Source organism: Homo sapiens, chromosome 19 (genome assembly GCF_000001405.40).
Source record: "Homo sapiens chromosome 19, GRCh38.p14 Primary Assembly".
Lineage (NCBI taxonomy): Eukaryota > Metazoa > Chordata > Mammalia > Primates > Hominidae > Homo > Homo sapiens.
Window position 1 is genome coordinate 18846142 of NC_000019.10, and position 13799 is coordinate 18859940.

Sequence of the window (13799 nt, forward strand, 5' to 3'; positions counted from 1 at the left end):
TGGGCATGTGCTGGACAGGTGGGTGCCTCTGGCATGGGCCTGGGACACTCACCTCCCAGGTACAGGGTGGCGCCCTTGTGCTGTGACTCTGGGTGGCGGTGTCCTCGGGAGTAAGGAAATTGCTCAGGCCATGTGCACAGCCAAGGCCTGTTACCGGTCAGGAGGTGGGCTCAGCAACCTCCGACACCCTGAATTCACCAGCTGGTGGGAAAAGTTTTCCTTCCTTTGGCCTCCTCAGACCCTGGGGGCATTGCCTGGTACCTGCGCACTCACTCATAGAAAGAATTTGTCATGGCATTGGGTGAGCATCTGGGGTGGGAGGGTGAGTGGAGCAGCTGAGATACCCTCACAAAGCAGTTGCTGCAGGGTTCTGGGGCATCCCTGCCTCCCGCTGCCTTGGCCGTGCCTGGAGAATTGGATGTGAAGACAGTAGTTAGTGGATAGACCTGCATGTTGACAAATTTAGAATTCTCATCTCGAGTGGGATCGTCCCTTGTTGAGGCTTATTTCTGTATTTTTGTGACACACAAGTGAGGAAATGTAGATTAGAAGAGGGGAGAAGGTTTTGGCCAGGCACGGTGGCTCACTCCTGTAATCCCAGCACTTTGGGAGGCCGAGGTGGGCAGATCACGAGGTCAGGAGATCGAGACCATCCTGGCTAACACGGTGAAACCCTGTCTCCACTAAAAATACAAAAAATTAGCCAAGCATGGTGGCGGGCGCCTGTAGTCCCAGCTAGCTACTTGGGAGGCTGAGGCAGGAGAATGACATGAACCCGGGAGGCGGAGGTTGTAGTGAGCCGAGATCGCACCACTGCACTCCAGCCTGAGCGACAGTCACGGCAGGTTTGGGCCTGAGCCCTGCCTCTGTCTGTGGGCACCCACTTGGGGCCCTCCCTGCAGCTCCTTGCCCGCGTGCTGCCCAGCGCTCCGGGACTGAGGCTGCTCTTCGCTAGGCTTGGTGGGCAGGCACTCTTTCCTGCATCTCAGCTCTTCACTCATTCTCATTTACAGATGTTTTCGTGTATGTAATTGTGTTCTCTTAACACACAGAGATGGCCATAAGTCCTGGTGCAGCTCTGGGGAGCTAGTATTTTTGGGTTTGGTATGTGGATTTTCAGAAAACCACAGCCAGTGGTGGGGTGAGGCTCTCCCGAGGCTCCTCGCTTGGGCTTCGGGGCCTGAGCTTCAGGGCGCTGCTGCTGCAGGGTCTGTGCCCAGCTCCCTGGGAGCACAGTGCCCTCTGCTGGAGCCCAGAGTTCACCATGACCACTGGGTCTGAGGCTGGATTCCTGAATTTCAGGCCAAAGAACGGGGACTAGAATGGCCCTGGAGGAGTGAGGCCTCCTTCCAGCAGGACTCTCCTTGGAGGTGGCTTTGCTCCTTATCCCCTCGGAGCTTCTGCCACATACCCCTTCCCTGCATTCTTGGATTTGAGAAGCCCTGGTTAACTGGTTTGATTTGGTTACTGGGATTGTTGGGGTTGAGTATGTGTTTAATGAAGAACTTAAAAATGTTGTCAGAGGAAAGAATTTCACATCTTGCCAAATGAAAACCAGAGAGCAAGCTTCCAGCTGTAACTGTCGCTGTTTTGATTTTTTAGTTACTGTGGAATACACGATCCTGCCTGCGTGGTTTACTGTAATACCAGCAAGAAGTGGTTCTGCAACGGACGTGGAAATACTTCTGGCAGGTAGATAATCAGACCATGCATGTGTGTTTAATCAGTGCTGTGCTCAGATTTGTGTGTAAATTATGGAAATGTTGAAGCAAAGCGTAATATAAAATCACGCTAACAAACCTGGGTTTTTTCCTCCTCTGTGACTGGTTTAACTTGAAACAGATGGTGGTGTGTGAATGCCTTAATGTATTTACCCTTGATTTATTCTCTGTGGCTCTTTTTATTATGCAAGTAGGGTTGGCTTAATTCTCCTTCCCAGTTTTTATTTCGATTTTTCTGCAAGATGAGCTCTTGGCACACCCGCTGATCTTCATTAACGGGAGGATGTTCCCAAGGCAGTAACGGGCATCCAGGGGCGCTGGTTCCTGAGCAAGCTTGCTCTGGCCTGAGCTCATCGGAGCTGTCCGGAGGCTAATTCAGGCCAGATCCTGAATCATCGGCTTCAATTAAGTTCACTTGACCGTCGGCGCTGGGCTTGCCTTCCTGATGTTGATCAGCTGCAGCTGGACTGTGTCGCTTGTTCTGTGTTTGGGACAGGACAGTGTTCTCCCAGTGCCCAAATTCCAAGGGGGGAGTTCGATGGTCTTGCCCGAGTGGTGGGACTCTCGTCCTGGTGGGTCCCGTGCTAGCGGCTCCCCTTCCCCTCCAGGTTGCTGTGTACAGGTCACTCCACTGCTGGAGAGGATGGAGCAGAGCCTGGGAGGCAGAGCTCCGAGGTGCTAGCAAGGAAGTGTGGGGTCTTTTTCTGAGGTTCACGTTCTGGAGAAAGAAAATGACCAAAGCCCGGAGGCAGGCTTACTTGTGCTGACACAAGCCCCTCCTGTGCCTTTGACAGCTGTGGGTCTCGGAGGGTTACAGATGGAGCAGTCAGATCTCGTGGCATCTCTGAGTTAGTAACTTGAAATATGGTGTTATGAGCAAGGCCAGAAAGGGGCTGCTGTTTTTAAAAGATTTTAAAGAAGGGTATCTTCTGGATAACCAAAAGACATTCTTGTCCCATTTTCAGAATCTTCTGGGTAATTTAAGTGTTGCTATGTTTGCATTTAGTTCCTCTTGTTCAGGAAAAGCAACTAAATAAAACTTCTCTTAGCTGGCAACCCCAGCTTCCGGTCAGCATAGCCAAGAACAGGGAAGTGAGCAAAAGGGCCTCTGAGAAACAACAGGCTTGAGCCAAGCACCACTGAGCATTCTGTGCGAGGCCCAGGGGAAGGTGAGGAAGCAGCCGCTGGCCCTTAGGGATCTTGGCTGTGACAGGGTGAGGATGCATGAGAAGACACGGAGACAGCTGATTCTGCCCACGTGGCCGGCAGGGCTCCAGAGTGGAGTCGGGCTTTGGAGATGCTCAGAGTGGCCATGGCTGGTTAGAGAATCCTGGGCCTCGTGGCAGGGAGAAGGGTTAGAAGATTAGCTGAGCTGAAGCTTTTGGCAAGAATGGTTTTCCAGAGGGGAAGAGAGAGGGCGCGGTGAGGAAGGCTGGGAGGCCCTGCAGGCGTGTTCAGAGCTGCTGGAGACACCGGAAGAGCCCAAAGGCAGAGCAGCTGGGCATCCTTGTTAGATACGGCAGATAGGTGCTGGAGGGTGGCTGGCTTGGCACAGGGCAGGGTTCAGCCCAGACCGCGGTTTAGGTGAGCAGTGTCCTGGCCACGTCGCAGCAAGGAAGGAGCCGAGCCAGCCAGGGCTTCACACACAGCCCTGGGCTTCTGTAGAACCGCCCCCGCCTCTGCTCAACCTTTTTGCTGCTTTTTGCGGGGGTTTCCAGTCGCCTGCTTATCAGATTTCCCGGCCTGCAGCAAAGCAGGAGGGACTGTTGCTCCTGGAAGTAGGCACAGGGCCTCTGAGGAGTGATTTCAGAAGAAGCCACAGAAGATGGTGGCGGGGGTTGACCTTGGAAAGAAGGGGCTGGGGCCTTGTGGGAAATGTCTCTGACCCCACAGCAGCCCTGGGCCAACAATGGGTTAAATTAGGCCTGATAAGTTGGATTTAAGAAAGCAGGATTTTTAAAAAAGGCAGGAACTATGTGAACCGTGTTAAGGAAGTTTTCCTTAAAGTGGTTCAAGTTGGGATTGATTTTTGTGCTCAGTGGGGAGCTAGTTTGGGGGAGGGCTGGCCCCCAGAGATGCCAGATGGATGAGGTGTGACTGCCTCTGCTAATGGACCGTGAACGGTACCGGAACTTTTAACAGGGGCCCGAAAATTGGAAGTGGTGAAAAGCCAAATTTTGGGTGTTAACCGTTTATCATTTCCTGGTTTCAGCCACATTGTAAATCACCTTGTGAGGGCAAAATGCAAAGAGGTGACCCTGCACAAGGACGGGCCCCTGGGGGAGACAGTCCTGGAGTGCTACAACTGCGGCTGTCGCAACGTCTTCCTCCTCGGCTTCATCCCGGCCAAAGCTGACTCAGTGGTGGTGCTGCTGTGCAGGTGAGTGGTCCCCAGATGTCTCCTGGGGGTGACCTTTAAGCTCCAGCCGTCTCCTCACAAGCCTTGGCCCAGCCCAGCCCAGCCGTGGCTCTAACTCCAGGGAGTTGTCCTCCAAAGATGGTTTTTGCTGAAGGGTGAGGCATGAGAGCGTTTAGGCGCTGAGGCTTGTTAAGGAGTCGGCAGTGCCGTGTAACTCTTTTGGGGCGTTCTGGCTAAGTCATAAAAACAATTCTGTAAAAACAAAGTCTGTTCTGAGTTTTAAGAGTTCAGAGCTCAAGTGCACAGGGAGATGCGATTTATTACTAACAGTTTGAAGGTAATGTGATCACATAATAAAATGCAGGGCATGCCCCTTTGGGTGAAAGGTCAGCATGGGAGGGGGCCCTCCCTGCTCCGGGGCTTCAGGGACGGGAGCTGGTCCTCACGGCCCCCTCCCGCTCTGCAGGCAGCCCTGTGCCAGCCAGAGCAGCCTCAAGGACATCAACTGGGACAGCTCGCAGTGGCAGCCGCTGATCCAGGACCGCTGCTTCCTGTCCTGGCTGGTCAAGATCCCCTCCGAGCAGGAGCAGCTGCGGGCACGCCAGATCACGGCACAGCAGATCAACAAGCTGGAGGAGCTGTGGAAGGTGGGGCTGCCCAGCGGGCCGACCCGTGCCTTCGTGTGGTTTCTGGTTGCGGGGAGGGGAGTGTCTTCAGAGACGGCTTGACCCAGTGAGACCGCTGGAGATTCTCTGAAAGGAATTCAGGCAGACCTCTGCCACCTCTACGTGGAATGACCTCAGGGCACCTTGGTCACCTTCCATCCAGGCAGCCTTACCTGACCGAGAAGATCCTGGCCTTGGGGAAAGGAAAGCTCTGGCTGCTGGAATTTTTCTTGTCTTGCCGGGGTGAGGATGGGTGGTGGGAGGGGAAGAATGGGGCTGGCTGTGGGCAGACTTGTCCTGCAGAGCCTGAACCTGCCCAGACAGGTGGGCTGCGAGAATGTCCTGGGGAAATAGGTTGGTGTCGAGGTCGGCACAGTCAGCTGAGACAGAGGGGAGAGGAGAGGGTGCCGGGTCAAGTAGTGGGTGCCTGGCCCTCCTTCCACAGACAGCCCTCACTTTTCCCCACGGAAGCCTTTCTGTGCTTCCAGCTGTTTAGGATTTTGTGATAAAGTAGTTCTAATAACTAGGCTAGAAGTTTTCATTTGCCTCCCATTCAGTCAGAAATCTCACATAGGAAATGAAGTGCAAGTTAAAATATTTTTTTAAGCATTGTTCAGCCGGGTACCTTTCCACTTGGATTTTCCGGTTGCCAGATGATTTCATGATTCCCGTTTATATCTGAACAGCCCAGAAAATGTCCTGTCCCCACCAGCATGGCACTCACTGAGGGAGCTGGCCCCCAGGGGAAGAGCTGCGGGCCCATGTTGGTCTGGCTCAGGGTTAGCAGACGTGGGAGACAGGCCTCCCGGGCTGTGGACACAGCGAGAGAAACCGGTGGTCTTTGTGGCAGCCTGCGAGGCGGGTTAGCTGCTCTCGTTCACAAGCTGGGCATACTTGGAGGAAGCAGCTGGCTCTGAAGGTGCCCTCTGCTGTGGACAGTGTGTCAGGCTGGTGCCTGGGGCTTTGTAGGCAGGTTCACCCAAGTACCGGAACCCCGCTGGGGTGCGGAGCAGCAGCTGAGGCCCAGGCATGGGCCAGGCCGGTGTGCAGCTCCCTGTGTGGCATGGAGTTCCCGTTCCCAGGGTTCTCCTTGCAGGTGGGGCTGCGCCAGAACCCCTCCATGCCACCCACCGTGGCCCATTCTGAGAAGCGGCATGTGTGCTCCATCCCTCTGGTGCCTCTGCGCCCTCGTTCATTTGCATGTAGGGAAAAACAGGACGAGTGTGGCGCGGTGTTGTTGTCTTCTAGGAAAACCCTTCTGCCACGCTGGAGGACCTGGAGAAGCCGGGGGTGGACGAGGAGCCGCAGCATGTCCTCCTGCGGTACGAGGACGCCTACCAGTACCAGAACATATTCGGGCCCCTGGTCAAGCTGGAGGCCGACTACGACAAGAAGCTGAAGGAGTCCCAGGTGATGTGTGCGAGAGGGCTTGGCCTGGGGTGGGCTCTGGCTCTCACAGCTCTCTCCTCAGGCTTCCAGAGGGAGGTTTTCTCTCCAGGCTGTGGGAGCTGATGTGGGCTGCAGCCGCGACACCTGAGAGTTGGAACTTGCGGATCCGGGCCTGGCAGCCCGGTGGTCTGAGCCCCCGCCCTCAGATCTGACATCAGCCTCAGTGTTTTCTGTTTAAATCCAACACATCTTTCCCAGTGGGGTCCACAGCTTTGCCCACAGTTGCGAGAGTTAGACTCGGGCGTGATCCCTGTGAAGACCACATTTAGGCAACGGGAGCCCTGGAGCGCTGACCTCCCCTCCCTCCCTCCCCTCCTCTTTCTGTCCCTCCCTCCCCTCCTCTTTCTGTCCCTCCCTCCCCTCCTCTCTCTCTTCCTCCCTCCCACAGCAGCTGCTCCCTGGCCACGGAGGCCTCTGGTGTGCGGTGAAGCCTCCAGACGGGATTGGCCTGTGTGTGTTCCGGGGACTCCTAATGGCTTCTCTTTCAGATGTGCCCTTGGTGGCATTTGGGGCTGCAGGTGCCACTCACGGCGCCTGCTCTCACGGCAGAGGCTTGCTGTAGGGCCCGCCTCATGGGGCCTCGGGCATGTGGAGGCCAGGCCCGGGCCTGTGCTGGAGGCTAACCGGGGCTCTTGTTTTTCATGTGCTCAGACTCAAGATAACATCACTGTCAGGTGGGACCTGGGCCTTAACAAGAAGAGAATCGCCTACTTCACTTTGCCCAAGACTGACTCTGGTAATGAGGATTTAGTCATAATTTGGTTAAGAGGTGATTTTAAGTTTTAAAATATTTGTGACCATAAGTAGCATAAATTCCTAGTTCCACCCTTGTAAAGTGCCCCTTAATTTGAACTCTCCCTGGTGGAAGCGACGGCGTGGGTTAAAATGGCCACCTCTCTCACTTTTTTACCTCAAGACATGCGGCTCATGCAGGGGGATGAGATATGCCTGCGGTACAAAGGGGACCTTGCGCCCCTGTGGAAAGGGATCGGCCACGTCATCAAGGTCCCTGATAGTATCCTTCATGTGAAGAGGGTGTGGCCGGCTGGTGGGAGAGGAAAGTGGGGGCATCAGGTGGAGGCCACTGTGGATTTGATGCTCACTGCTGGGCCAGCATCTCATGCTCTGTGGTGGGTGCTGGTTGGCATCGCCCTCCACTGCTCTTAGGAGAATCACAGGGCCTTCACCTTCAGGGGACAGCTGGTTGTATGGTTGCTTCCCCTCTGCCCGAATGGTGATGTTGGTGATGCCACTTGTGTGGCGCGTCCCTGGGCTGACTCTGGAAGTTAATGTATGCCGCTTGTGTGGCACGTCCCTGGACTGACTCTGGAGGTTAATGTGGCTGCAGGAGCGCCTTACCTGGACGCTGACTCTGCACACGGAGGTTCCAGAAGCCAGTGGTCACATGCAGACCCTCTGAGCACACACTTGCTCCCAGGCCATGTTTGGGAATGTGCAGTGACCTCATGGTGATGCAGCCTGCCGGCCAGAGTGGGGCAGCTGTAAGGCACAGGTGCAGTCAGAGGCTTGGGTGGGGAGGAGTCCTGGGAGAAGACACCGCGGGTCAGACTCAGGCTGCCTCTTGGTGACTGGCCAATGCTGCTGGGGCCTGACCATTCAGCGGTGGCCTCCACAGGGGTAGGGAGAGTTGTCTCCCACACCCACCCTGGGCCTGACAAGCTCATCCTGAACACGTGAGACCGGTTTTGGGGCTCGGGGTCGAGGGAAGGGTGTTGCCTACCGGCCACAGCCTCCTGGAGGGCAGTTTGCTTGTGTATGTGGAGCCTTTTGCTTGGCCGTACTGGGAGGGGTGTTGTTTCTGTGGAACTGTGAGAAGAGCTGCTGTGGCCAAAGCTGGGTTCTGCGAGCTCTGCCTGCCCCTGCTGGCCACATGTGCAGGAGCTCCCGGTGAGGTCCTGGGGCCCAGGATGTGGCTGCTCCCTGCTGGTGAGCGCTGCTGGCTTCGCTGCCGCCCTCTGCGTCTCTGAAAGGGGCCTAGATGGGTGGCTGGGAGTGGCAAGGAGGAACTCCAGGCTGGCTGGGGGTGGGACACCGGCTCATGGTGAGGTAGAGTCTTTCTTCAAGGATGCTGTCCTTCTGGTCTCTGGTCTGGTGTTGGCTGCACGTTTTTAGCGTTTGGTGCAGAGCCAGCGGTGTCTTAAGTAACTAAATTTTAAAAACGCTGTTTAAAGAGCGTGTACCAAGGGTGGCCCAGAAAGGTCAGCCCGGCTTTTGACAAGGATGCAAACTTAACTCAGCACACAGATTATGGCGATGAGATCGCCATTGAGCTGCGGAGCAGCGTGGGTGCACCTGTGGAGGTGACTCACAACTTCCAGGTGGATTTTGTGTGGAAGTCGACCTCCTTTGACAGGTACGTCTTCTCCCATCACTGCCCCCTGTTCCCTGGTTGCCACCTGTGGCATCTTTATGAGCCCTCCCCGTCACTGTGGAGTGGGGTTCCCCACCCAGCTCTGCAAACTCAGGATGTCGGAGAGGCGGCCACAGCTGTGCGTGTCGCCAACCCCAAACCCTCCTCACAGGATGCAGAGCGCATTGAAAACGTTTGCCGTGGATGAGACCTCGGTGTCTGGCTACATCTACCACAAGCTGTTGGGCCACGAGGTGGAGGACGTAATCATCAAGTGCCAGCTGCCCAAGCGCTTCACGGCGCAGGGCCTCCCCGACCTCAACCACTCCCAGGTGCGCGCCGTCCTCAGCGCGCGGGGCCTCGCCCATGGGCCGGGACGCAAGCGGAGGCTGCCCCTAACGGCCGCTTGTATTGAAGGTTTATGCCGTGAAGACTGTGCTGCAAAGACCACTGAGCCTGATCCAGGGCCCGCCAGGCACGGGGAAGACGGTGACGTCGGCCACCATCGTCTACCACCTGGCCCGGCAAGGCAACGGGTAGGGCTGACACGGCCCTTGCGGGCAAGACCCGGGAGGGCTTTAGGGTGGCCAGATGGAAGGCCTGGTGCTGGGAGCCTTGGGCTCTGTCACACCGAAGAGAGCACGTGGCGGGTAGTGTCGCCATGGTGCCTACCGCTCTCTATGTGACATTATTCGTGTCAGCTCCAACCTTAGGATTGCATTTTAGTAACCAGGTCTGCTACTGGTTTAGAAAACTGGGGGCAGGGGGGGCATGGCTGCAGCAGCGTGAGTTCCGTGTGCGGCACTTTATAGTGTGGCGGGATGGTGCAAGTTCCAGCCTTGGCATTGCTTGCGGTGGGTAGAGCTGTGAAGCCTGGGCTGTCTGGATCTGAGCTCCTTCGGCATCGTGTCATTACTGCCTGTTAAAAATGTCAGGAGTTTAAGGCCAGCCTGAACAGGGTGAGACGTCTCTACAAAAAAAAAATTCAGAAATTAGCTGGGGGTAGTGGCGTGCACCTGTGGTCCCAGCTACTCAGGAGGCTGAGGTGGGAGGATTGCTTGAGCCCAGGATGTTGAGGCTGCAATTAGCTGAGATCACACCACTGCACTCCAGCCTGGGCAACAGAGCAAGACCCTGTCTCAAAAAACAGAGTCTTGGCTTACTACGTTCACCGAGCTTCCTCTGGGTAAGCACTGAGCTGCCCCAATGGTGTTGCAGGCCGGTGCTGGTGTGTGCTCCGAGCAACATCGCCGTGGACCAGCTAACGGAGAAGATCCACCAGACGGGGCTAAAGGTCGTGCGCCTCTGCGCCAAGAGCCGTGAGGCCATCGACTCCCCGGTGTCTTTTCTGGCCCTGCACAACCAGATCAGGAACATGGACAGGTGTGTGTCGAGTCCATCCCTCCCAGTTGGTCCCTGAGCTTCTGCGGGTGACATGTACAGAACTCAGGCACCCTGCTGACCTGCATGTGCTTCCAGCATGCCTGAGCTGCAGAAGCTGCAGCAGCTGAAAGACGAGACTGGGGAGCTGTCGTCTGCCGACGAGAAGCGGTACCGGGCCTTGAAGCGCACCGCAGAGAGAGAGCTGCTGATGGTGAGTGCCCCTCCTGCCTGCAAAAGGGCCTGTGGGCTGGCGGCCTGATGGTTTTTGTTTGGGCCAAAGCACCTATTTGAATTGTTGCTTTGCTTCTGGAAAGAGAACTTAGATGCTCTCTACTTGGCCTCTCTGCGCTCAGTTGTACAGTAAATTAGGGACATCTCGCTGCCTGGAACACGGTCTTCTAGGGAGTCTCCACTCCCTGCCAGCCTCCACTGGGATCCGGCAGTGGATCTAGAACACTCCTGCTCTTTCATAACCAACCAGCCTGAACTGGAATCAGCCTGAGTGCAGGTTCCAGCAGCTCAGCACTGCCCCTTGGAGGCTGTCGTGAGGCGCAGAGCTCTTGGTGTGGAGAGGTTGCCTTCTGTGAAACATGACCGTTTAAGGATCTTAAAAGTTTGTAATCACCACAGCCTGGACCATGTATCTTGTCTGGGAGGGACAGCTTGTTTTTTATAGTGTCAGGGAGGGTGAGAAACAGGAGAGCTTCTGTGTTCTGTCCCACCTGCCCTCCGGGGTCTGGTGGCGTTTACAGTGCAGGTGCCCTGATGCCTCTGCACCCTTCCCCAGAACGCAGATGTCATCTGCTGCACATGTGTGGGCGCCGGTGACCCGAGGCTGGCCAAGATGCAGTTCCGCTCCATTTTAATCGACGAAAGCACCCAGGCCACCGAGCCGGAGTGCATGGTTCCCGTGGTCCTCGGGGCCAAGCAGGTGGGCTGCCTCCCCTGCCCTCCTGTGTGAAAACTCGTGTGTGTGATTCTTGGTGTTTGTCTTTTAAAACACCTTGTATTGACGTAGGATGCCCAGCAGAGTGTGCGCACACTGGGGGCTCCCTGAGGGGTTTATAGAGGGTGGGTTCTGCCAGCTGCACGTCCAGTGTGCGTGGTGAGCAATGCCCCTGTGGCCAGGTGGTGTCCTGTGCATCCTGGGGCCCCTACTTCCTTGCTAGTGTGTGTTGAGGCTGATTCACACCTGAGCTTCTTGACTTGTGGGGGCCCCTGTTCCTACAGCTGATCCTTGTAGGCGACCACTGCCAGCTGGGCCCAGTGGTGATGTGCAAGAAGGCGGCCAAGGCCGGGCTGTCACAGTCGCTCTTCGAGCGCCTGGTGGTGCTGGGCATCCGGCCCATCCGCCTGCAGGTCCAGTACCGGATGCACCCTGCACTCAGCGCCTTCCCATCCAACATCTTCTACGAGGGCTCCCTCCAGAATGGTGTCACTGCAGGTAACGGGGCTCTGCCCAGGGCAGGGGCTTCTACAGAGAAGCGGCATCAAGGGAATGTGGACTGGGGAGAAGGAACTGGCCCATCAGCTTCCCCTGAGCGGCTTCACATAGCCACTGCTTGAGGTCAGGGCACTTTGTGCCCAAGGTCTTGATGGTATGGTCTTGGATCAAGTGGTGTCTCTGGGGCATGTGGGGAGCCTGTGTCCTCTGTAAAACTCAGTCATTGCCTGAGAATTCATCCAAGCCTCATGTGGCAGCATGCACAGCAGCCAGGACAGGCTGTTAGGGGAGCTGAGCCCGGGCCTTAACGTGGGCTGTGCATTCAGTGCTTCATGAAGAACAGCTGTTCTCAGGGCCTGGGCCCCTGGGGCCCGCAAGACCGTGTCCGGCTTCCCTGGATAACACAGAGGCCTCACCTGCCCTTTTTCACTCTGCTGACGCTCACACTGCTGGTGACCCCCTGGTGCTTCTGCAAGAGTCAGCCCAGAGCAGCCAGACTGTGCCCGGATCACAGTAAGAAACGCCCTGGATGAGGAAGTGAACAGTACATCTTACTAAGCCTCGAGTGTTTCACTGTGACCAGATAAAATTTCTCGTGACACCTTTGGGTATGCCGGCGCTTGAAGGAAGTCCTTGTGGACACACCCTGGGTATTCACCCCAAGGTGTTGGGCAGACTTTTTCCAAAAATGATCGAACCTGTCGCTTCATGGAGAACTAGTGGCAACATCTGTTACAGTAGTAAAATTCAAGTGAAAACCAGAATTTTGGAAAACTTAACGTCGCTTGCCATGAGCTTGGTGTCTTCCCAACACCTAGAGACTTTTCTGGTGAGGTCTGTGGGGGTGACAGATGGAATGTTTCCACCATTGCCAGTGAAATGTGTCAGCCTTTGGAAGACCTACTTGACTCGGTGGGAGATCCTTCCTGAATGACCAGCAGAGTGTCACGAAGTCACATGGGGATGGAGTGGCAAAGAGTTGTCACAGGCCTGCAGAAACCCACCTTTGTCCAGCTTGATGTGGCCTCAGGGCTGGAGACTCCCAGCCATGCAGAAAGGCTGTAAAAACAAACCCATCTCCCTTTCCAGCCTCAGGCATCCATGAGGCCTGGCTTCCCCACAGCGTCCCCAGAGCCCAGGAGGGTGGACTGAGCAGAGGTGGACCCCAGGGCCCAGCTGCCTCCGATTCAGCCAGATAGTAAGGAGATTTGCAGAAATGGGAGACAGGACCACTCTTCTTACTTAGCTTATTTTTGGAGAAATAACTAACACGTAATGGGTTATTTTTAAATGAATTAATATATTTTTTAAATTTCCAAGTTTAGAGAATACAGTTATCCAATAAACAAAAGCTGTTTGGACTCCCTAACTTTTGAGAGTGTAAAGGGTCCTGAAAGCTGCCGACACAGCGCCTCATGAACTCCAAACCTGTGAGGTTGGTATTGTCAGGCCTAGTTACAGGAGAAAGTGAGGCTCAGAGCCCACCCCCCGGGTTGGGCCACACCACTCTTTGCCTAGCGGTAGGTCTTGGGAGTTGATGCCACTATTGACATCGCAGGGACACCGCTGTTCCCAGCGCATGGCAAGGCTGAAAACACAAGGCCACAGAGACCTAGCTTGTGCTCTGGGGTGTCTGAGCACTGGCTGGGAAAGGCGTGGCTCGGCGCAGGCTCAGACCCCTCATGGTCCCCAGGGCATCGGCCCAGAGGGCAGACGCTGGTGCACACTGCTCTCTAATTGATGCACAGCACGTAGTTCACACCCAGGAAGTACATTTTAGGAAATTCTCTATTGAAGTGTAAACATGTGGCCACATTACAAGTGTCTGGCTCAATGAGTGGTTACTAAGTGAGCATATTTGGATAGCCAGCACCTGAACCCAGAACCACCTGACCAGCTGTGAGAAGCCGCCTCATCCCTGCAGGTGGCCACTGTCCAGGGGTGCGCATCCACAGCAGCCCCTGGGCTGAGGGACTTCTGAGCTCATCCGGCGGCCCCTGTGCTCGCTGTAACAGCAGTGATCCACTTGGCCTCATTTTCAGCTCGACGTGGGATCATATGATGTGTCCTGGCGTGTCTGGCTTCCTCTGTCCATGTCAGGCTGGTGCTGTGCAAAAACACCGGTTTTCTCCACTGATGGAAGCTCCCAGTAGAGTGAGGAGGGCACCTGTGAATTGAGAAACTGGTTTTACAGTTTTAAGGAAACGCAACAGGGCCCAGAAAAGCCAAGATGAGCATGAAGAGCCCGAAGAAAGTGGCTGCTCACATGGCAGGACGCCCCGGCCCCCAAGCTGCAGTGTTGGGCCCCGGCCCAGGAGGGAGCCCAGAGGCAGAGCCACCGGTCAACAGGCCCTCAGCAGGAATGGACAAGGCTGCAGGGCAGGGGGACACTGTTGGCTCAACAGTG

At 55.8% G+C, this 13799-nt stretch overlaps 1 protein-coding gene across 5 annotated transcripts in view, besides 3 other annotated features; it reads left to right on the forward strand.

The window, feature by feature from the left end:
* Nucleotides 1-13799, forward strand: part of UPF1 (UPF1 RNA helicase and ATPase) — a 36272-nt gene that overhangs the window by 14183 nt on the left and 8290 nt on the right. For 2 of the 5 annotated variants that reach the window (XM_017027105.3, XM_047439191.1), the window contains exons 3-15: nucleotides 1603-1692; nucleotides 3934-4101; nucleotides 4547-4727; nucleotides 5994-6155; nucleotides 6846-6963; nucleotides 7111-7209; nucleotides 8436-8568; nucleotides 8738-8897; nucleotides 8983-9101; nucleotides 9784-9948; nucleotides 10045-10159; nucleotides 10736-10879; nucleotides 11179-11392. In XM_017027105.3, coding sequence (XP_016882594.1) covers nucleotides 1603-1692; nucleotides 3934-4101; nucleotides 4547-4727; nucleotides 5994-6155; nucleotides 6846-6963; nucleotides 7111-7209; nucleotides 8436-8568; nucleotides 8738-8897; nucleotides 8983-9101; nucleotides 9784-9948; nucleotides 10045-10159; nucleotides 10736-10879; nucleotides 11179-11392 — 1868 coding nt within the window. The remainder of the gene's footprint in view (nucleotides 1-1602; nucleotides 1693-3933; nucleotides 4102-4546; nucleotides 4728-5993; nucleotides 6156-6845; nucleotides 6964-7110; nucleotides 7210-8435; nucleotides 8569-8737; nucleotides 8898-8982; nucleotides 9102-9783; nucleotides 9949-10044; nucleotides 10160-10735; nucleotides 10880-11178; nucleotides 11393-13799) is intronic. The other 3 variants (NM_001297549.2, XM_017027106.3, NM_002911.4) reach the window with 3 other exon arrangements.
* Nucleotides 1299-1358: an enhancer, noted in NCBI's record as "active region_14332". NCBI's record gives its function as "activates an Ori minimal core promoter by ATAC-STARR-seq in GM12878 lymphoblastoid cells {active_cell/tissue: GM12878}" and the evidence as "EXISTENCE:reporter gene assay evidence [ECO:0000049][PMID:35858748]".
* Nucleotides 2818-2937: an enhancer, noted in NCBI's record as "active region_14333". NCBI's record gives its function as "activates an Ori minimal core promoter by ATAC-STARR-seq in GM12878 lymphoblastoid cells {active_cell/tissue: GM12878}" and the evidence as "EXISTENCE:reporter gene assay evidence [ECO:0000049][PMID:35858748]".
* Nucleotides 3485-3709: a silencer, noted in NCBI's record as "fragment chr19:18960435-18960659 (GRCh37/hg19 assembly coordinates)". NCBI's record gives its function as "represses an EF-1alpha promoter that drives an FKBP-Casp9 reporter gene in an ReSE screen in K562 erythroleukemia cells {active_cell/tissue: K562}" and the evidence as "EXISTENCE:reporter gene assay evidence [ECO:0000049][PMID:32094911]".